Here is a 22971-nt window from a genome sequence, read left to right on the forward strand (position 1 = left end):
TTTTTGGAGACAGGGTCTTACTTATTGTTCAGGCTAGAGTGCTGTGGCATGATACTGACATACATTAGCCTGAACCTTTCAGGCTCAAGCAATTCTCTCCTACCTCATCCTCACAAGTAGCTGGGACTACACATTTGCGTTACCACCCCTGGCCAATTTTTCTTTTTGTATTTTTTGTGGAGACAGGATTTTGCCATGTTGCTTAGGCTGGTCCCAAACTTCTAAACTCAGGCAATCCAACTGCCTTGGCCTCCCAAAATGCTGGGAGGACGGGCATGAGCCACCACATTTGACCATACCATATTTTCTTTTTTTTTTTTTGAGACGGAGTCTCCCAGGCTGGAGTGCAGTGGTGCGATCTTGGCTCACTGCAAACTCCACCTCCCAGGTTCAAGCAATTCTCCTGCCTCAGCCTTCTGTGTAGCTGGGACTACAGGTGCTGGCCACCACGCATGGCAAATTTTTTTTGTATTTTTAGTAGAGACGGGGTTTCACCATATTGGTCAGGCTGGTCTCGAACTCCTGACCTCTGGTGATCCGCCCGGGTCAGCCTCCCAAAGTGCTGGGATTACAGGCATGAGCCACTGCGCCAGGCTGACCATACCATATTTTCTTTATCCAGTCTACCATTGATAGGCATTTACAGCCTGTCCATGTCTTTGCTATTGTGAATAGTGCTGCAATGAACATGCATGTGGGTATGTCTTTATGATATAATAATTTATATTTCTTTGGCTATATACCCAGTTGTGGGGCTCCTGGGTCAAATGAGGATTCTGTTTTTAGTTCTGTGAGGAATCGCCACACTGCTTTTTACAGTTTTTGAACTAATTTACACTCCCACCAGAAGAGTATAAGCATTCCCTTTTCTCTGCAACCTTGCCAGCATCTGTTATTTTTTGACTTTTTAAAAATAGCCATTCTGACTGGTGTGTGGTGGTGTCTCATTGTGATTTTTCTTTTAATTTCTCTAATGATTAGCGATGACCACTTTTTTTCATATGCTAGTTAGCTTCATATATGTCTTCTTTTGAAAAGCATCTGTTCATATATTTTGCCTAATTTTTAATGAGGTTGTTCGGTTTTTTCTTGTAAGCTTGTAGGTTGTCTGTTTACTCTGTTGATAGTTTCCTTTCTGTTAGGAAGCTCTTAAGTTCAAATGGGTCCCATTGGTCAATTTTTGCTTTTGTTGCAGTAGCTTTTGGTAGCTTCCTCATGAAGTCTTTCCCAGTTTTTATGTCTAGAATGGTATTTCCTAGGTTATCATGGCTGGGTTTCTTATAATTTTAAGTTTTTCATTTAATTTTTTAATTTATCTTCAGTTGATTTTTGTAAATCAAAATGAAATGAAAGGGTCCAGTTTCTGTCTTCTACATAGTGTTAGGTATTTATTCCAGCACCATTTATGAAACAATTCTTCCCACATTCCTCTTGACAGCTTTGTCAGAAATCTGATGGCGGTAGGAGGGTGGCATTATTTCTGGCCTCTCTGTTCTGTTGCATTGGTCTTTTTTTTTTAGACGGAGTCTCGCTCTTTGGCCGAGACTGGAGTGCAGTGGCCCGATCTCGGCTCACTGCAAGCTCCGCCTCCCGGGTTCATGCCATTCTCCTGCCTCAGCCTCCCGAATAGCTGGGACTACAGGTGCCTGCCACCGCGCCCGGCTAATTTTTTTGTATTTTTAGTAGAGATGGGGTTTCACCGGGCTAGCCAGGATGGTCTCGATCTCCTGACCTCGTGATCTGCCCGCCTCGGCCTCCCAAAGTGCTGGGATTACAGGCTTGAGCCACCGCGCCCGGCCAGTTGCATTGGTCTTATGCATTAATAAGTTTCATATAATATCTTTCTCTCTTTTGGTTTTTCCCTCATAAACCTTCTTTCAAGTGCATACATTGTACAAATTTCAGATGTCCAAGAGTTCAAAACTCTTTGAAAACTTCCAAAAATGTTTTTGCTATTCCCTCTTTTTGTAAGGAATTTAGATTATATGTAGATATTTTTCTTTGTTTTATTGAAATATATGTAAATCATATTAACAGCTAAATAAACCTTTTGTCATTTTTTCTGACTCCAGATTATCTTTATCTAGTACTTCAGATTTATTACTTTGTTTTTGCTTCCAAAATGTTTATTTTTTTCATTTTTAGTCCTTTAGACAGATTTGTTTAGATAAAAGCTCATTTTAATAGCATACAGAAGCTTAGCACAAAGAGAATTAAATTTAGCAATACAGAATGATAAAGACTAAAAGATACTAAATTTCTTTGTCAGAAACCTGATGATCCAAGGTAATTATCCAATATTTGCAGGCTGAAGCACTTGTACTGCAAAAGCAAGAACAGTTCAGTGCATAAACTGAACAGTGCAGTCTGTAGTTGTACCTTGCTTTCTATTACTTCATAACAATTAGTATAGTTATGTGTAATGTTTGCAGACTACCTGCATTCATATAAATTAAACAGTATTTTCTTTTCTTTTTTTTTTTTTTTTTTTTTTGAGACAGAGTCTCACTCTTGCCCAGGCTGGAGTTCAGTGGCGTAATTTCAGCTCACTGCAACCGCTGCCTCCCGGGTTGAAGTGATTCTCCTGCCTCAGCCTCCAGAATAGCTGGGATTACAGGTGTGCCCAACCATGCCTGTCTAAATTATTGTATTTATAGTAGGGATGGTGTGTTATCATGTTCACCAGCTTAATCTTGAATCCTTGACCTCAGGTGATCCACCCGCCTCAGCCTCCTAAAGTGCTGGGATTACAGGGGTGAGCCATAAACAGTATTTTCTACAATAGTATGAGTACAAAGCTGCACTACTTACTTTGAATTAATCACTTAAATGGTTATTTTAATATCATTATTTACACTTCTGAAATATAAAATGTTTTAACTGAAGTATAGTTTTAATTTTTAAAACTATAATTTTAAACTATACACATACTATATACATACTATATACATTATGACTAGTTCATTAAAATGATTTATACTTACTTAAGTCTAATATCCAAATAAAATTTATACCAAATTGTTACATTAAGTAGATATTAGTGTGACATGTTTATTACTTTATTCAATAGGGATTATTATGAGTAAACACAATTTTAATATCTTTTATTTCACTAAATTGGTATGCTGCTATTACAGGACAAATAAAGACAGGTGATGTGGCCACCCAAAAACTATAATGGTTCTTCAGTTTGCTATGTTGCAAGCTCTAATATGTTCCACTATATGAACACAGTCAGATTCTATTTCTTCATCAAAAAGTGTTGCTTGAAGTTGTCAGATGTATTTCAATATAGAACCTCCATTCAATGGCTAGGAGATGAGGGAACAGCAGAGATGGAAAAGAAACTTTATAAAATTATTCTTAAGATCTGCCTCCTTCATAATGCTCATTTCTCATGCTGAGAGTAGCTTGCACTTTGGGTGTTTAGAGAGAGATTTCTTTTAGGGGAATATTTTCTGACTGACATGATCAATCTTATATCTAATCTGAGCTTTTTCTTAGATTATTTTAACTTTTTTCTCAAAATAATCTTGCTCAGATGGAGATAATGTTTTTCTCTCCAATGCTTTGGGTGTCTGTTTCAGAAGATCTATTTGTATCACATGGTTTCTGAATAAGCTGGGCTGTCACAGTGAGAGCTTTTGGAGCTATCTCTATCTGGACTCATGCTGGAAATTCAGCAGTATTTTTTCCTTGTCACCATTATAAGTAGAAAGGAGTTGAAACACTGCTCCCATTTCCATTACTGTGAAGGTGAAATTTTACCCAGGAGGCCTGCAGGCTCTCCTCCTGCAGCTCAGGCTTCACTCTCTGATGTGACACTGGAGTGCTGCTGTGGCAAATTGGGTTCACACAAAAGGTGAGCTGTGCTCTGGGCTGTGCCTCAGTGGCAGATGGTAGAGGTAAATAGAGGACACTAGCTTTCGTGCGTGTCTATGTGAAGAGACCACCAAACAGGCTTTGTGTGAGCAATAAAGCTTTTGATCACCTGGGTGCAGTTGGGCTGAGTCCGAAAAGAGAGTCAGCAAAGGGAGATAAGTGTGGGGCCATTTTATAGGATTTCGGTAGGTAAAGGAAAATTAAAGTCAAAGGGGGTTTGTTCTCTGGTGGACAGGAATGGGGGTCGCAAGGTGCTCAGTGGGGGTGCTTTTTGAGCCAGGATGAGCCAGGAAAAGGACTTTCACAAAGTGATGTCAACAGTTAAGGCAAGGACCGGCCATTTACACTTCCTTTGTGGTGGAATGTCATCAGTTAAGGTGGGGCAGGGCATATTCACTTCTTTTGTGATTCTTCAGTTACTTCAGACCATCTGGGCATATACGTGCAGGTCACAGGGGATGCGATGGCTTGGCTTGGGCTCAGAGGCCTGACATTCCTGCCTTCTTATATTAATAAGAAAAATAAAACAAAATAGTGTTGAAGTGTTGGGGCGGCAAAAATTTTTGGGGGGTGGTATGGAGAGAGAATGGGCGATGTTTCTCAGGGCTGCTTCAAGCGGGATTGGGGGGGCGTGGGAACCTAGAGTGGGAGAGATTAAGCTGAAGGGAGGTCTTGTGGTAAGGGGTGATATTGTGGGGATGTTAGAAGAAACATTTGTCGTATAGAAAGATTGGTGATGGCCTGGATACGGTTTTGGATCAATTGAGAAACTAAACAGAAGATACAAGGTTCAAATAAAGGAAGGAGAAAAATGGGTATTAAAGGACTAAGAATTGGGAGGACCCAAGACATCCAATTAGAGAGTGCCCAAGGGGGTTCAGCGTAATTACTTGCTTGGTTGGCAAGTTTTTGGGCTCTATCCTTGAGTTTTTTTATGTTGTCATACACCAGGCCAGATTGATTTAGGTAAAAACAACACTCTTCATTTAAGAATATGCAGGGTCCTCCTTTTTCAGCAGTGAGTAAGTCAAGGCCTCGGCAGTTTTGGAGGACAACTGCAGCTAAAGAGTCAACTTGGGCCTGGAGGACTGATAAAGTTTGTGATATGTCTGTGATGCTAGCAGAGAAGTCATTACACAGGCTACAGAAGGTCGTGACAGAGGTTGAAATGCCTGCTATTCCAGTACCAAGAGCAATAGTGGAGGCAGAAAGTCCTAAACGGACCATCAAGGGAATTAGTGGAAGAACTCTTTTTTGTCATGTTGGTGTCATGAGGGGAACAGGGAGCTCTTCGGTCCTATTTGCAAATTGAATTTTGGGGGTAAGGAAGACTAGTGTACATGTGCCTGTCCAATTAGCAGGTAGACACATGTAGGTAGAGGATCCACAGAGGAAGAAGAGACCTTGTGTGAGGCAAAACTGGAGATGTAAAGTAAAAAGATGAGAAGGAGTGCTGAAAGGGGTGTCTTGTACCCAGACTCCTAGGGATCCAGCTAGGGCGGCAGCTGTCAGAGGTTGTAATGGGGACTGATGGGGTAACTGCATAGAGGGGGAGTTTTGATTTTCATGGTGTATGAGAAAACATTGAGTATCTATGAGCAACCTTTCACTGTTATTTTCGGGGCTGGGTATAAGTAAACGAGAAGAGGGCCTGGGAGGAGAGTCTGACGAGCAAGGGGAAGGTAGCCAAGGATGGAGTGAAATACAGGGCAAGTGTCTTCCTAAGCAATAATTGCTGCGAATTTTTTTAAGTTTGCCTGTATTGATAGAGGGCTTGTCTGTAATATGCAGCTGGAAGGCTCCAGTTGTTTCAGTGATGTGTGTAGTTGGGCTTCGGAGATGAAGAGTAAAGGAACATCGAGAAGGTAAAAGATTACCTAGGGGAATTCCAGTGGGTCTTTGCGGAGAGATACATAAAGGAGTGGCCACTGGAATAGTAATTTGTGTTGTGAGAGGTCCAAATAGGGGGGAAGTAGAGTTAATATAAGGAGAAAGGTTTTTTAAATAAGTGCGAAGGAGGGCGGCAGCTTGCTGATGTGAAATGTCTGGGGAAGTCTTGCTGGACCTGTCCAGAAAGTAAATGAGTTCTTCAGGAGGGTAAAGTTGAGGGCTGTTAAAGGAAGTTCGGAGGTGTAGGGAGACGGGGGGTGTTGCCCAGTCTGTCTGTAAGGTGGGGACAGCTGTGTAGGCACTGGAAGAAAGGGAAATGCAAAGGCAGCAGTTGTTCGCCAAGGAGGGATTAGAAGCGGCTAGGAGAGAATGGGTAAGGTTGATACTGTGGTGGAGATAGCTGGGGAGAGGTAGAGGGTGACATAAGAATGGGAATGAGAATAAGAGTGAGCATAAAAGTAAAGAGTAGAACTTCATCAGGGTTGGAAGTATTGGAGGGTGCCCTGCCAGCAAAGATCATCTATCCACTCTAAGAGGGAGTTAAGAGTGGTGGTTTGGGGATAGCACCAAGAGATATCAGCTGTAATGGCTTGAAGAAACAGTGTAAACTGGCAGTGTAAACAAGAGTAGGGCATTTATAAGTAGTTGAGAATGGAGAATAGGAGTATGACCGGACAGAAGATAGTAGGGATGACTAGTTTTTGGGGCTCGGCCTAAGTGGTGGGGGTGACTTCGTAAAGCCCTGTTGCAAAAAGTAGGGTAAGGACGAACAGACCTAATAGAATGAAGGGATGTATTAGGCTCATAAGGGTTATTACTGTTCTTCAGAAATACGAGTGAGTTTAAGGGAAGTGGGGGAGAGTACTTAAGTGGGGGAGAGTACTTGTGACTTCTAGGAGGAAGAGGAGGGATTAGGCTGGCTGTCCGATGGACACAGCTTTATTCTGGAATGGTGAACCCAGTGGGGAGGATCCTGCAGGCGGACGGCAGTCGGGGACTATAGATGACTAAGTAGGGTCCCGTCCATCGAGGTTGTAGAGTTTGAGGGGTCAGATTCTTAACAACAACTGATCGTCCAGCTAGGTTGTCTTCATATGGCTGGCGATCTGGAGTAGGTAAGAGAAGATTAGAAGCCTGGTGAATTTCCTGTCTAGCCTGCTGGAGGACTGGAAGATAGTCACCTAGAGGGCTGGTGTCTGGGATGAGGCTGGGGCCAAGCAAGAAAGTGCGTCCATATAAAAGTTCAAATGGACTGTACCCTGTAGCATCTCGAGGACAGGCTCTGATTCTGAGAAGAGCAAGAGGTAAAAGTACTGTCCAATCTTTTTTAAGTTGGAGGCTGAGCTTGGTGAGGTGTGGCTTTAAAAGACCATTAGTCCGTTCTACCTTTCCTGAAGATTGAGGATGGTAAGGGATATGAAGTTTCCACTGAATACCAAGAGCCTGAGAAACTGCTTGGGTGATTTGGCTAGTAAAGGCTGGTCCGTTATCAGACTGTATAGAGGTGGGAAGGCCAAACCGAGGAATTATGTCTGACAGAAGGGAAGAAATGACCGCGGTGGCCTTTCAGACCCTGTGGGGAAGGCCTCTACCCATCCAGTGAAAGTGTCTACCCAGACTAAGATATTTTAGTTTTCTGACTCGAGGCATGTGAGTAAAGTCAATTTGCCAGTCCTGGGCAGGGGCAAATCCCCGAGCTTGATGTGTAGGGAAGGGAGGGGGCCTGAACAATCCCTGAGGGGTAGTAGAATAGCAGATGGAACACTGAGAAGTGATCTCCTTGAGGATAGATTTCCATGATGGAAAGGAAATGAGAGGTTCTAAGAGACGGTCTAGCGGCTTGTAACCTACATGGAAGAGGTTATGAAATGATGACAGAATAGAATGGGCCTGTGAGGCTGGAAGAAGATATTTTCCTTGGTCTAAGAACCATTTGCCTTGTGTGGGAAGAGATTGATAGGTGGAAGTTTCCGTGGGGGAGTAGGTGGGAGTGACTGAAGCGAAGGAGAAAAACTGGCTGTGAGGGACAGAAGTTGGAGAGCTAGCTGCTTGTCTAGCCACTTTATCAGCATAAGCATTGCCTAGAGCAATGGGATCTGATGCCTTTTGATGCCCCTTGCAGTGAATGACCCCAGCTTCTTTTGGAAGTAAAGTGGTCTTGAGCAGAGTTTTTATTAAAGAGGCATTAATGATGGAGGACCCTTGTGTAGTGAGGAAACCTCTTTCAGCCCATATGACTGCATGGTGCTGCAGAATATGAAAGGCATATTTAGAATCAGTATAGATATTGATGCGTAGTCCTTTTGCAAGAGTGAGGGCTTGAGTTAAGGTAACTAGTTCGGCTTGCTGAGAGGTAGTGGAGGGAGGCAGAGCGGTAGCCTCAATGATAGATGTGGAAGATACTATAGCATAGCCTGCCTTTGCTGGTGAGTGGTGATTAGGCCTGGTGGAACTGCCATCAATAAACCAAGTGTGATCAGGGTGAGAAACAGGGAAGAAGGAAATTTGGGGAAATGTGAATGTCAGGTGGATCAGAGAGATGCAGTCATGAGGGTCAGGTGTGGTATCCGGAATAATGTGGGAGGCCGCATTTAAGTCCAGGCCAGGAACAATGGTAATTGTGGGAGACTCAACAAAGAGTGAGTATAGCAGAAGGAGCCGGGGAGCAGAAAGTATATGTGTCAGGTGTGAGGAAGAAAATAGATTTTGGAAATTATGAGAGCTGTAGAGAGTGAGTTGAGCATAGTTTGTGATTTTGAGGGCCTCTACAAGTATTAGGGCAGCAGCAGCGGCTGCACGGAGACATGATGGCCAGCCTAAAACAGTAAGGTCAAGTTGTTTGGACAAAAAGGCTACAGGATGCGATCCTGGTCCTTGTGTAAGAATTCAGACTGCACAGCCCTGCACTTCGGCTGTGTGTAATGAAAAGGGTTGGGATGAGTCAGGGAGAGCTAGAATAGGGGCAGTCTCTAAAGCTGTCTTCAAGGAATGGAAAGAGGAGTGGGGAAAGGATTTAGGATCTATGGGGTCAGCTAGGTTTCCTTTTGTGAGTTTATATAATTGTTTTGTTAGGTTGGCAAAACCAGGTATCCAAAGGTGAAAGTATCCAACCATGCCGAGGAAGGAAAGGAGTTGTTGTTTTGTAGAAGGGATTGGGGTTTGAGAGATTAGTCGGATACGATCGGCAGGGAGAGCATGTGTGTTCTTATGAAGAATTATGCCGAGGTAGGTAACGGATGGAGAAGAAATTTGAGCTTTGGAGGGGGATACCCGATATCCTTTGGAGAATAAACACTGAAGGAGCAGAAGTGTGTCTTGTTGAGAAGATTCAAAGGAGGGGCTACAAAGAAGAAGGTCATCAATATATTGAATAAGGTGAGAAGCGGAGGGGTGGAAGGAAAGTAGATCATGAGAAAGAGCTTGGCTGAAGTAATGAGGGCTGTCCCTGAAACCCTGCGGCAGCACAGCCCAGGTAAGCTGCTGGGACTGATGGGTGTCAGGGTCAGTCCAGGTGAAAGCAAAGAGAGGCTGGGACGAGGGGTGCAGGGGAATAGTGAAAAAAGCATCTTTAAGATCAAGCATGGAATAGTGAGTTGTGGAGGAAGGTATTGAGGACAAAAGAGTGTACGGGTTGGGCACCACAGGGTGGATAGGCAAAACAATTTGGTTGATAAGACGCAGATCCTGAACTAATCTGTAAGACTTATCCGGTTTTTGGACAGGTAAAATGGGGGAATTGTAAGGAGAGTTTATAGGTTTTAGAAGCCCATGCTGTAGCAGGTGAGTGATAACAGGCTTTAATCATTTTAAAGCATGCTGTGGGATGGAATATTGGTGTTGAGCAGGGTAAGGGTGATTAGGTTTTAATGGGATGGTAATGGGCATGTGATCGGTTGCCAGGGAAGGAGTAGAGATGTCCCATACTTGTGGGCTAAGGTGGGGGGATATGAGAGGAAGATGCGAAGGAGGCTTTTGGTTGGGGAGAAGGGCGGCAATGAGATGTGGCTGTAGTCCAGGAACAGTCAGGGAAGCAGATAATTTGGTTAAAATATCTTGGCCTAATAAGGGAACTGGGCAGGTGGGGATAACTAAAAAAGAGTGCATAAAAGAGTGTTGTCCAAGTTGGCACCAGAGTGGGGGAGTTTTCAGGGGTTTTGAAGCTTGGCCGTCAATACTCACAACAGTTATGGGGGCAAGGAAAACAGGCCCTTGAAAAGAAGGCAATGTGGAGTGGGTAGCCCCCGTATCGATTAAACAGGGGATGGACTTACCCTCCACTGTGAGAGTTACCCAAAGCTCGGCGTCCATGATGGTCCAGGGGGCTTCCGAGGCGATCGGGCAATGTCAATCTTCAGTTGCTAAGCCAAGCAGATCTGGGAAGGAGTCAGTCAGAGAGCCTTGGGCTAGAGCTTTAGGGGTTCTAGGAGTGGCTGCCGGGTGAGCTGGGCAGTCTGATTTGCAGTGAGTCCCTGCACAGATGGGACATGGCTTGGGAGGAATCCCGGGCTGCGGGCATTCCTTGGCCCAGTGGCCAGATTTCTGGCACTTGAAGCAAGATCCTGATGGAGGAAGTCTTGTAGGAATGCTTGACTGCTGTGGCTTAGGCATTCTGAAGTTCTCCTATGCAGGAGGTGTGGCTGGGTTTTGTCTCACAGTAGGGGCAAGTAACTGTAACTCAGAAATGCATTGCCGTCTGGCTGCTTCCTCCCTATTATTGTGCACCTTGAAGGTGAGGTTGATTAATTCCTGTTGTGGGGTTTGAGGGCCAGATTCTAATTTTTGAAGTTTTTTTGTAATGTCAGGAGCTGACTGGGTGATAAAATGCATATTGAGAATAAGGCGGCCTTCTGGCCCCTCTGGGTCTAGGGCGGTAAAGCGTCTAAGGGTTGCTGCTAAGCGGGCCACGACCTGGGCTGGGTTTTCATCTTCACCTTGGGTAGTTTCTTTAAGTTTGTCATAATTAACAGCTTTGTAAGCTGCTTTTTTAAGCCCTTCAACTAGGCAGGAAACCATGTAATCTCGCCTAGCTATACCTGGGGAATTTGCCTGATGGTTCCATTGGGGATCCTCTCGGGGAACTGCTCTAATGCCTTCCTGGAGGTCTGGCTCGTGAAGCCGGCGGTTATCAGCATGAGATTGGGCTAGAGAAGAAACTCTTTCCCATTCATCTGGGGAGAGGGTAGAAGTCAGGATGACATTTAAGTCACTCCAGGTTAAGTTGTAGGACAGAGTTAGACATTGGAATTCCTGTGTATATTTAGTGGGGTCTGATGAGAAAGAGCCTAAACATTGACTGATCTGAGAAAGGTCTGATAGAGAAAAAGGTACATGTACCCTGACTATGCCTTCAGCTCCAGCCACCTCTCTAAGAGGAAATTGTTGGGCAGGTGGGGAAGAGCTAGTCGCGGAACTAAACTGTAAGCCGGACCGGGTGTGAGGAGGGGAGGTGATAGAAGGATTATAGGGTGGAGGAGTGGAGGCTGAGGAAGAATTGGGACTTAGCTCGGCCTGGCAATGAGCAGCCTGGGGAGGAGGGGAAAGGTCAGATGGGTCTGTAGAAAAGGAAGACTGGAAAGACTCAGCGATGCTTGGGGTTGGGACTGAGGGGACAGGCGGGAGGGAAAGAAGGAGGATCTGGGAGGAATCGCATTGGGAACAGAGGCTAGGGAGGGAACGAAGTGTGAAAAATGCCTGGACGTAAGGCACCTCAGACCATTTGCCCATTTTTCGACAAAAATTATTTAGGTCTTGTAGGATGAAGAAATCGAAAGTGCCGTTTTCTGGCCATTTAGAGCCACTGTCGATTTGTATTGGGGCCAAGCAGTGTTGCAGAAGAAAATAAGGCATTTAGGTTTTAGGTCAGGTGTGAGTTGAAGAGGTTTTAAGTTCTTGAGGACACAGGCTAAAGGAGAAGGAGGAATGGAGGGTGGAAGGTTGCCCATAGTAAAGGAGGCAAACCAAGAGAAAAGAGAGCATAGAGACACGGAGGGAAGGGGTTCGGAGGTTCTTACCCTCCAGAAAAGCAGGAAGGGGGGTCAGGGCATGGAAATAAGGGATTGGGGCACAGAGATAAGAGGTTGGGCTGCAGAAATAAGGGATTGGGGCACAGATAAGAGGTTGGGGTGCAGAAATAAGGGATTGGGGCACAGAGATAAGAGATAAGAGATTGGGGCACAGAAATAAGGGATTGGGGGTTCTTGCCCCCTAGAAAAGTGGGACTTGCCGCTAAGGGTGAAGGAGAAGGGGTTGAGGGGTTCTTGCCCCTGCCCCAGAAAAGCAGAGAAGGGGTAGAGACAAGGAGAGAAGGGGTTGAGGGGTACTTGTCCCTTCCCCAGAAAAGCGGGACTTGCCGCTAAGGGTGAAGGACCAAGGCAGGTGTCCCTGTGTGGTCTGACACCCTTGAAACGTGAGTGTATAATCAGAGAGGCATCCCTGCAATGATTAAACACCAAGGGAAGGCTGCCTTCCCAGTCCGTGACCGGTGCCGGAGTTTTGGGTCCATGGATAAAACGTGTCTCCTTTGTCTCTACCAGAAAATGAAAGGAATTGAAATTAAGAGAAGGGAGAGATTGAAGTGTGGCGCCAAGATTGGAAGGAGAAAGAGGTTGAGGGATAGTGAGGGAGGTTGGAGAAGAGAGTAAAAAGAGGCCGCTTACCGGATTTGAAATTGGTGAGATGTTTCTTGGGCTGGTCGGTCTGAGGACCTGAGGTCATAGGTGAATCTTTCTCATGGAGCAAAGAACAGAGGACAGGGGATTGATCTCCCAAGGGAGGTCCCCTGATCCGAATCATGGCACCAAATTTCATGCATGTCCGTGTGAAGAGACCACCAAACAGGCTTTGTGTGAGCAATAAAGCTTTTAATCACCTGAGTGCAGGTGGGCTGATTCCGAAAAGAGAGTCAGCGAAGGGAGATAAGGGTGGGGCCATTTTATAGGATTTGGGTAGGTAAAGGAAAATTACAGTCAAAGGGGGTTTGTTCTCTGGTGGGCAGGAGTGGGGGTCGCAAGGTGCTCAGTGGGGGTGCTTTTTGAGCCAGGATGAGCCAGGAAAAGGACTTTCACAAGGTAATGTCATCAGTTAAGGCAAGGACTGGCCATTTACACTTCTGTGGTGGAATGTCATCAGTTAAGGTGGGGCAGGGCATATTCACTTCTTTTGTGATTCTTCAGTTACTTCAGACCATCTGGGCATATACGTGCAGGTCACAGGGGATGCGATGGCTTGGCTTGGGCTCAGAGGCCTGACACTAGCAACCAGGAGAAAGCAAGCAGGAGTGCTGTAGCCCCCTGCCAGAGTGTACAGAGCCACTGCTCTAAGTAGCCAAAATGATAGAACCCTATTTAACCTTTTTTGTAGCAGAGTGAAACCCTACCTTCAGCAGGCACTTGGCTTCAAGCAGCTAAACCACCTCCTGTTATGAAGATGGGAAATGTTTATTTGTCATTGAATATGAGCAATTAGCATACACACATGGCCTCGTCAATCTCCAGGTGAATTTAGGATGAACTATATATGACGTGGTGCTGGAAATTCTTCTACTTGTGGACTAATTATGGTGACCATCTTTCTATCTTTGCAGTCACTTAAGCAGATTGACTATGATGCATGTCACACTTAATTGTGTAATAAAACAGTTTTCTTTCTGTACTATTATTGTGGCATTTCTCTGGGGCTGGAGACATGTTTTCTTTATTGTTTCCAAATACTGTCTAGAATTACCAGACATGATATAAACACATAAGGTGCCAATGAGAATTTACTCTAGAGGGGACTTTTCCTCTCAGGCTTCCAGTTGACTGACACTTGTGCAGCACAGTGCACGCTGTCCCCTAAAGATGCAGGCAGAATTGTGTCTCAGCCTATTTATTAATCTATAGTCATCTACAGTCACTTCTAGAGAGGCTAGATCAGATTTCTATAAATTTCACAGGGCAGCAATCAGTTATTTTACCTCTTTGACTCTTGTATTTTCAGACCTGAAACGGATTCAGAGACCATGGGGCCCACAAACCCAATTAGAGTAACGTGTGCATTGAGTAGACATGTAGATAAGAGATTCTCCACTTTCTTCTTTCTACTCTGCTAAAATGCTCACAAATGTGCTATAAACATGCTGCCACTCCATCCATTCTTGCCCTAAATCTGCAGCTCCATATTTTGAATCCAGGTCTTGAGATTTGGGAAATAAAAAACTTTATCTGAAAAGTGCAAGTACTTTTTCTCCCTTTGAACTATGTATTCAAATGTATGTATCTGTTGAAACTGTTCACAATTGCCACAAGTAGTTATAAATTAAACTAATGCCACATTGGACACTATATCCCATACCCTAAACCATAACAATATATATCTAATCAATAATCAATGTTATTTCTGTAAACAAATATAAATTTCTGATAAACAACTTTGTGTCAGCCCACTCTGTGTTTCTCTTATTGTCTTTACAAATCTTCTTGTAACTGCTGCTAATCAAAGTGTAGATTTCAGGCAACTTGAATATTTGCTCCCAGGTTATAATCCATAAACTTGACCCAAATAAGCTGTCTACTTATATTCACGTTGTGTCAGCTTTTTGTTTTTTTCATGTAGACTTATCATTTAGAATGTGCTAGAACAGCCTCTATTAGGGGATCTCTTCACCAAAGGATGCAAAGCCAGGTGGATCCTACCTAGAATCTGTAGATAAGGTCTGTCCTCTGCCAGGAATTTACAAAAAAGGGTGGGAGTTTGGATAAAGAATGTACAGAAAACTAACAAAAGGCATTTTCTGTATTGTGAGATGTCAGCAAAGACAGCTTACAGCCCCCATTTGGGAGTGTGGCATTTTGAGATTTTCACATCTTGTTCATTGACCTGCTACAGTGATGTGAGAGGCTCCAGGAGGAACTAGCATCTGATGGCAGAATCTGTAAATGTAAATAAGCATCTTAGGAGTGAGAGATCAAGGCCACAAAATATCCAGAGCCATGACCACAACTATATTTACCTGTAAAATGTGATACTGGAGTAGAGTATTTTTGTTCTTTCTCTTATCCAAGAGCTAGCAAATCAGGACAGGAGATCCAGGTTCTGGAGCTCCACCAAGGCAGTTCCATTTTCTATTCAGAATCAGCCTCAGTTCCTCCAGCCTGGCTTATCATTGGGCCATGAGCCCAGGGTCACTGAGAATTCTGTCACAATCATCTAGATGTCTTTGAGGCATTGGAGGATGTCAGAGCAGAATTGTGTCAGGCTGACAAGAATGGTTTTTTCTTCTGTCTCAGTGTAAGAGAAACGAGTCATCCTGTGTTTGTTCCTCCTGTCATACAAGAGGTGTCTTTGGTACCCAGATGAGAGTTTCTCCAGTTTCCTGGTACTTGGATGATAAACACGGAGATCTGGAGACCCAAATAGATAAGCTAGTTGCTTCCATTTCATATGGCCATTAAAAAAAATACATGAAGCAGTCATGGTTCCAACAATCCAGAAACTTTTAGTCTAGACTAGCAACTGGATAAATAATTGAATTATGCAACATATGGTTGGTACAACAAATACACGTGTCCAAAATACTGGGCTTTATTTAGGCCACTTTCTTTATGTTGTTGTGACTTCTGATGTCTACACCCGAAGGGCTATTTATGAACAGAAGAAATATTATTATGCTTTTTTTTTTTGAGATGGTGTCTCACTGTGTCACCCAGACTGGAATTCAGTGGCATGATTTCAGCTCACTGAAACCTCTGCCACCAGGGTTCAAGCGATTCTCTTCCTTCAGCATCCTGAGTAGCTGGGATTACAGATGCCTGCCACTGCACACGTTTGAGCAGACCAATTATGAGGCAATTCTCCTAACTCTGCTTCCAGAAGAGTCTCCCTATCAATTACTGAATACCCATTGTGGTTTTTTCCCTCAATCACATGGGAGGAACGGTCTATCATCCTGTCCTGAAGGGAGTTCCTCCTAGGTCAGCTCAGACTTTTGTATGGTAATGAAGATTTAAATCCCCTGTTAGGAAACCTGCTGGACACTGGTGTGGCCTTCTTAGCCTTACTCTTTTGTCTTGGACAACTGTCCTCCAGATCTGTCACTATCTGAGGCGTCCCACGACAGGCAGTCACTAGATACTTCTCCCAGCCACTAAGTTGTGACTGGAGAACTTTGCTGTCTTCACATGCTTTTCTAATTATGCCTGAAAGCCCAAATCCTTTGTTAGGGAGAGACATCCTAGCAAAAGCAGGGGCCATTGTACACTAGAATTAGGAGAAGGAAAAAGGGTAAATATATATACAGACTCTAAGTATGCTTACTTAGTCCTCCATGCCCATGCAGCAATATAGAGAGAAGGGGAATTCCTAACTTCCAAGGGAACACCTATCAAACATCAGGAAGCCATTAGGAGAGTATTATTGGCTGTACAGAAACCTAAAGAGGTGGCAGTCTTATACTGCTGGGGTCATCAGAAAGGAAATGAAAAGGAAATAGAAGTGAACCGCCAAGCGGATACTGAAGCCAAAAGAGCTGCAAGGTGGGACCCTCTATTAGAAATGATTATAGAAAGACCCCTAGTATGGGGTAATCCCCTCCAGGAAACCAAGCCCCAGTACTCAGCAGAAGAGATAGAATGGGGAACCTCAGGAGGACATAGTTTCCTCCCCTCAGGATGGCTAGCCACCAAAGAAGGAAAAATACTTTTGCCTGCAGCTAACCAATGGAAATTACTTAAAACCCTTCACCAAACCTTTTACTTAGGCATTGATAGCACCCATCAGATAGCCAAATCATTATTTACTGGACCAAGCCTTTTCAAAACTATCAAGCAGATAGTCAGGGCCTGTAAAGTGTGCCAAAAAAATAATCCCCTGCACTGCAGGCCATACATTTCAATCCCTGTATCATTAACCTCCTTGTTAAGTTTGTCTCTTCCAGAAGCAAAGCTGTAAAACTAAAAATGTTCTTCAACTGGAGCCTCAGGTGCAGTCCATGACTAAGATCTACCATGGACCCCTGGACTGGCCTGCTAGCCCATGCTCCAATGTTGATGACATTGAAGGCACCCCTCCCCAGGAAATCTCAACTGCATGACCCCTACTACACCGCAATTCAGCAGGAAGAAGTTAAGAGCAGTCATTGGCCAACCTCCCCAACAGCATTTGGGTTTTCCTCTTGAGAGGGGGATGACTGAGAGACAGGACTAACTGGATTTCCTATGCCTGCTAAGAATTCCTAAGCCTAGCTGGGGAAGGTGACTGCACCTGCCTTTAAACATGGGACTTGTAACTCAGCTCACATCTGACAAATCAGGTAGTAAAGAGAGCTCACGAAAATACCAATTAGACTAAAAACAAGAGGTAAAGAAATAATCAAATCATGTATCACCTGAGAGCAGAGGGGGAGGGACAGTGATTGGGATATAAACCCCAGGCATTTGAGTCGGGAGTGCACAACCCCCTTTGGATCCCCTCCCATTGTATGGGAGTTCTGTTTTCACTCTATTAAATCTTGCAACTGCACACTCTTCTGGTCTGTTTGTTACGGCTCCAGCTGAGCTTTCACTTGCCGTCGACCACTGCTGTTTGCCGCCATCCCAGACCCACTGAAGACTTCCACCCCTCCCCCTCCGGATCCAGCAGGGTGTCCGCTGTGCTCCTTTGCCACTCCCGATTAGGCTAAAGGCTCGCCATTGTTCCTGCATGGCTAAGTGCTCGGGTTCATCCTAACTGCACTGAACACTAGTCGCTGGGTTCCACGGTTCTCTTCCATGACCCACGGCTTCTAATAGAATTATAAGACTCACCGCATGGCCCAAGGTTCCATTCCTTGGAATCCATGAGGCCAAGAACCCCAGGTCAGAGAACAAAGGGCTTGCAGCCATTTTGTGAGCAGCTGCCACCATCTTGGGAGTGGCCTGCCACCATCTTGGGAGCTCTAAGAACAAAGACCCACCCCTTAACTAAATTGCTGGTGTCTGTGCTAGAAAAGGGCACTTGAGGATGGGAAAGGAGAAACTTTTATTTTTATCTTCATGGAGCAGCTTATTGTTTTTGAATCTCTAATTGTTTTTGAATCTCTTCTATTTTAAAGGACATAAATGGGTGGACTTTTTCTGTCTTTGTTTTTCTGCCATTTGTTGTCATGCTAGGAGGTAGACATGTGGCACTGACACCTTTAAAGGCATATTCTCCAGATGCAGGTGTAATTTCTCCAGAGAATGTCATTTGATAAGGAATTCCAGAGAAGGAGGAGAAAGAAAAAAAAATGGCTTTTCTTCAGGTAAACATGTCTCAGATGCAGAGCTGTGTCCACTTTGCCTCCTGGACTGCCATGCATTTAGCACTCAGAAAACTTTACATCTGTACATGTGTTTATCCTCCCTAATGAGTTTGGTTGAACTACTTAAAATTCTTATGGTAGTCAAGGGTCTCTGAAAAATATTTCTTTCCTATATTCCAGAGCCTTCTCTACATTCTCCATGTCATAGCTTCTTATATGCCATGCAGAATTCTTAGCAAGAATTTATGATCCTCAATGTGGGATACAGTAAATTTGTCCTCAAAGGTTTCAGCTTGTTAACTTCCTTTAAAATTGAAGAGGGGAAATTAAGTACAATGAGTTCTGAGGTTCTCTTCAAAGAACCAAAATGTCAGTATGTTCATCTTTCCTGTTCTTTGTTCTCTATTTTAAAGTTCAACTTCCTCGATCTTAATGTCTCCTTGCTCCTAGTTTCAGTAAACAATCCCTTCTAACTCATGTATTTAGGGTCGTTAGTCATCCCTAGTCACCTGCTCTGTCCTGAGTCACTCCTACTCACCTGACTTATACCCATCCTTCCTGCTGACTATTCATCCCACCACTCTGGCTCTTACCATTGCTCTCTTTAAAATAGCCAATCAGAATTAGCTTAGACTGTGGTCCAACCCTAGCCAATAGCAGAAAGACACAGCAATAGGGACTAGTGGTGTTAGCGATAAGGCCCCCTTCCCCTCCCTTGCCCAAGTGTACTCTTGCCATTGCTCCATCTGTGAGACACACCCTTCTATAGAAGTATATTTGCCTTGCTGAGATGTTCTCTTTTTGAGTGCTCATTTTCCCTGAGACTCTGAGCAATTGTTTCCAACATGCAATCTTAAAAATGTTTCCTTTGTAGCTGTTGAACATGAAAAGATATGGATACTCAAGATTTCTACTGGGGAAAACTGTGGTCCTTAGTTAAGATGGAGAATATGTCATGTTGAGGCTCCATCTGTGTTCCATTAGCTCTATGCAGAACAGGATTAAGAAAATGCTTATTTAAATGGAATGGCATTTATTACCCAGAAAGTTCTGAAAAAAGTATTAGGAGATAGCTGCTCTCTAGGGTGCTAAATGACGCCTACTTAAAATTCCTACTAAAAATTACAGAACATAGGAGTTATCTGTACTTTGAAGTTTGTATAAAACATGTTCCTTTATGGTTAAATTCATATTTTACTTACTTTTTTTGGGAGGAATATGTTGGGGTGGCCAGACCAAACACCAGGTCGTGGGGGTGACAAAGTCTGATGGACTCAATCCTTTGAGTCCTTTGAGAAAAAGACAGTTTGAGAGAGAAAGGTGGGACACCAGGGGGCCATTGCGATCCTCGAGGCTGTGAAGGCCCAGAGCTCTGGGAGCCCACGCTGTTTATTGGTAATCCAACAGAGAAACAGGTGGTGAGAATGTGGAGGTCGAAAGGACAGGCACATGATCTACAGCTGTGAAGGTTTAGCATTTATAAGGAACCTGTTCTGCTACTTGAGATAATGGGAATAGGAGCCTAGGAGGGCTAGAAGCAAGGAACCAGCAAGTCTAGACACATTCCAGAGGACATTATGTCAGTCATGCAAGCCCTGCCTCAGCTTTCTTCCCAACCCTCAACTTTTTTCTCAACAGGAATATTTCAACAGTGATGCTGTATTCTTCTGTGCGCATTAGCACATCATAAAATTTGTCCTAGTGCACTTAATGGTGAATGATTCACTTGGTGAAATAGCTCTGTAACAGATTTCTTTCACTATAGAGTTAATTATTTTAAGTATCTTTGTGCAGCTGATATGTATAAACCAGCACATTTAATCTGGCAGCTGTCCTTTTTTCTTATTTTTTCTACATATTTTTGTTTGGAAAATGAAGGCTCTTTGTTTACAGGCCAGAAAAACTGGGAAAAACAAAGGTTCTTCCACTTGGTGGATGTTTGACAAAATATCCTTCTTGGGCCAAAAACATTGACATTATTCGTGAGCTTGTTAGAAATTCAAAAAATCAGACTTTATTTCAGATCTTCTGGAAAAAAAAAAAGAACCTGCATAACAAGGTCTTCAGCTTATTGTACATATTAAAATTTGAGAGGTGCCTTCTAAGTCACCGTGTCTTTTCTGTCTGAAAAATATTCACAACTCATTCCGTATGATCTAAATATAGCACTCAAAAATGTACATGTTCATGTTCATGCCCTTAATTTTATAATTTATTATCTAGAAAAATATCATATATGAACTGATGTTGTGGATCCTATTCTGCTCTTTTTTCTCAGGCAATATATTAGAAAATATTTTTGTGTTGGAAATTGTTTTATTGGATAATTTAGTGAGTCTTGTAAGTCAGAACCAATTCTCTTTACTCTCCAATTTCACCTTAACTCAAATTACAAACTTTGCCCATGACCACTTGGTAAAAATGTGTGTGTGTATATGTGTGTTTTTCAGGGACCATTGGAATTTAGAGATGTGGCCATAGAATTCTCTCTGGAGGAGTGGCATTGCCTGGACACTGCACAGCAGAATTTATATAGGGATGTGATGTTAGAGAACTACAGACACCTGGTCTTCCTTGGTGAGGATAAGTGGAATACATAATTCATAATATACCCTAAAGGTTGTTTTTATGTTTTTTTGTGGAATGATTTTTAGTAATGTATTGTTTGCATAAGAGAGTTTTAGATCCCCCTTTTCCTGAAAATCTTCAGAATTTCTTTTAGAAGTGAATTTCTTCAAGATGTTTCATCTTAATTTAAACTTTCCACTTTCCTGAGATGAGCTGTATTCTTCACTCTAAATTAGTGGTAATTCCAGAAATTTAGTGGCATAAAATATTGTTACCTCCACCTGAAAATCTAATTGCCACCACCAACTTTTGATTCAGTAGCACCAGGTAATAAAATTTAAAAACCTACAAATTAGGACAAGGCGCAGTGGCTCACACCTGTAATCCCAGCACTTTGGGAGGCTGAGGTGGGCAGGTCGCCTGAGGTCAGCAGTTTGAGACTAGCCTAACCAACATAAAGAAACTCTGTCTCTACTAAAAACATGAAATTAGCTTGGCATGGTGGCACATGCCTGTAATCCCAGCTACTCTGAAGGCTGAGGCAGGAGAATTTGTTGAACCTGAAAGGCAGATATTTCACTGAGCTGAGATTGCACCATTGCACACCAGCCTGGGTAACAAGAGAAACTCCGTCTGAAAAAACAAAAAACAAACAAAAAACAAAACAAAACAAAACAAAAAACCACACACACACAAAAGAAACCTATGATTTGAAAGTATTTTCTAAATCTTTTGAAATTTTTTTTATAACTCTATTTTGGAATTTACTAGACTATTTTATCACATCTTCTCTGCTGAGCACAGTACTAGCTTGTAATTGGAGAATATGAGGAAGATTCATGTTATTTATTTTTAATAAAACAGGTATTGTTGTCACTAAGCCAGACCTGATCACCTGTCTGGAGCAAGGAAAAAAACCCTTCACTGTGAAGAGACATGAGATGATTGCCAAATCCCCAGGTAGGTGCGAGTGAAAATGAATACAACAGACAACACAGATAAGAGGTCCCAAGGTCAAAGAGAAAGCCGGTCCTTAAAATGTGATTTAGGAAGCTGTGTTCCAAAGAGAATAGTTCCTGGGATTCTGTTTTTTGTTTTGTTTTTAATTTGGCTCTCACAAAGGGACATCTTCTGTCTTATGCTTTTAAATTTTCTAAGGATTCTACTTTTCTTTCGGTGAGCTTCCTTCAACTTCACAGTGAGAGCCAGAGTCCTCTTCATGGCATATAAGAGACTGCACAATCTGGCTGCTTTTACATCGTCTTGGGGACACAGAAATATCTGCATGACTTTGAGAAACTAAACTGTTTTTAGTCTTTTTGCATCAGGCCTGAAATGTGTGAGGGCAGTAGTATCAGTTTCATTTCTTTGTTCATTTTTCTGCATGGTCCATTCTGTTTTTATTACTATATAGTCTTAAAATATCATTTGAAAGTATAAGTATGATATACTTCTGCTCTGTTCTTTTTGTCAAGATTGCTTTGGCTATTCAAAGTTTATTTTAGTTTCATGTAAATTTTAGAATTGTATTTTCCATTTCTGTGAAAAAGATACCACTGCAATTTTGCTAGGAAGTTTATTGAATCTATAGATCACTTTGGATAATATGGCACTTGAATAATATTTATTCTTTCAATCTATAGACATAAAATATTTTAAAATTTATTTGGAACTTCTCTAATTTTTTCTTTTTTTTTTTTTTTTTTTTTTTGGTAAAGAGTTTTTACCTCCATGGTTAATTTTTTTTCTCAGAAATTTATTCAATGCTATAGTAAATAAGATTTTTTCTTTTTATTTTATGAGAGTTTAAGTATATAAAGCTGTACATATACTTGTATGTTAATTTTATGTTTTGCTAATTTACTGAGTATTTATTATTTGAGACAGTTTTTACTCTGTTTATGATTTTTAAAATATAAGATTGTATGATCTAGAAACAGCAACTTTTTACTTATTTTTCTTCAATTTCAATGGATTTTTTATTTATTTCACTAATTCTTCTGCCACATATTTCCAGTGCTACATTAAAATAGAAGCATTGACAATGAGCACAATATAGTTTTGCATTGCTGTCTGAATTTGATGAAGCAAATACCTCTTCAGGTTTTCTTTTTTTGAGACGGAGTCTTGCTCTGTCACCCAGGCTGGAGTGCAGTGGCGCGATTTCGCTCATTGCAAGCTCCGCCTCCCAGGTTCACGCCATTCTCCTGCCTCAGCTTCCCGAGTAGCTGGGACTACAGGCACCCGCCACCACGCCCAGCTAATTTTTTGTATTTTTAGTAGACACGGGGTTTCACCGTGTTAGCCTGGATGGTCTCGATCTTCTGACCTCGTGATCCACCCGCCTTGGCCTCCCAAAGTGCTAGGATTACAGG

The 22971-nt window shown here is 42.8% G+C and overlaps 1 protein-coding gene and 1 pseudogene across 1 annotated transcript in view, besides 4 other annotated features; one reads left to right on the forward strand and one right to left on the reverse strand.

Annotated features, from left to right (window-relative positions):
* The window catches only part of ZNF90 (zinc finger protein 90), a 43169-nt gene that overhangs the window by 5761 nt on the left and 14437 nt on the right, over positions 1–22971 (forward strand). Inside the window, exons 2-3 of the mRNA NM_007138.2 lie at positions 20479–20605; positions 21461–21556. Coding sequence (NP_009069.1) covers positions 20479–20605; positions 21461–21556 — 223 coding nt within the window. The remainder of the gene's footprint in view (positions 1–20478; positions 20606–21460; positions 21557–22971) is intronic.
* Positions 3256–3816, reverse strand: BNIP3P14 (BCL2 interacting protein 3 pseudogene 14; annotated as a pseudogene).
* Positions 3438–4037: an enhancer, noted in NCBI's record as "OCT4-NANOG-H3K27ac-H3K4me1 hESC enhancer chr19:20198007-20198606 (GRCh37/hg19 assembly coordinates)". NCBI's record gives its function as "activates a minimal SCP1, AML or CMV promoter by ChIP-STARR-seq in primed H9 embryonic stem cells {active_cell/tissue: H9 hESC(primed)}" and the evidence as "EXISTENCE:reporter gene assay evidence [ECO:0000049][PMID:30033119]".
* Positions 4038–4635: an enhancer, noted in NCBI's record as "OCT4-NANOG-H3K27ac-H3K4me1 hESC enhancer chr19:20198607-20199204 (GRCh37/hg19 assembly coordinates)". NCBI's record gives its function as "activates a minimal SCP1, AML or CMV promoter by ChIP-STARR-seq in naive and primed H9 embryonic stem cells {active_cell/tissue: H9 hESC(naive and primed)}" and the evidence as "EXISTENCE:reporter gene assay evidence [ECO:0000049][PMID:30033119]".
* Positions 12569–13109: an enhancer, noted in NCBI's record as "OCT4-NANOG hESC enhancer chr19:20207138-20207678 (GRCh37/hg19 assembly coordinates)". NCBI's record gives its function as "activates a minimal SCP1, AML or CMV promoter by ChIP-STARR-seq in naive H9 embryonic stem cells {active_cell/tissue: H9 hESC(naive)}" and the evidence as "EXISTENCE:reporter gene assay evidence [ECO:0000049][PMID:30033119]".
* Positions 17345–18544: an enhancer, noted in NCBI's record as "MED14-independent group 3 enhancer chr19:20211914-20213113 (GRCh37/hg19 assembly coordinates)". NCBI's record gives its function as "activates an origin of replication core promoter dependent on BRD2, BRD4, P300/CBP and CDK7 cofactors, and independent of MED14, by STARR-seq in HCT116 cells {active_cell/tissue: HCT116}" and the evidence as "EXISTENCE:reporter gene assay evidence [ECO:0000049][PMID:35650434]".

This window comes from Homo sapiens, chromosome 19 (genome assembly GCF_000001405.40).
Source record: "Homo sapiens chromosome 19, GRCh38.p14 Primary Assembly".
NCBI lineage: Eukaryota > Metazoa > Chordata > Mammalia > Primates > Hominidae > Homo > Homo sapiens.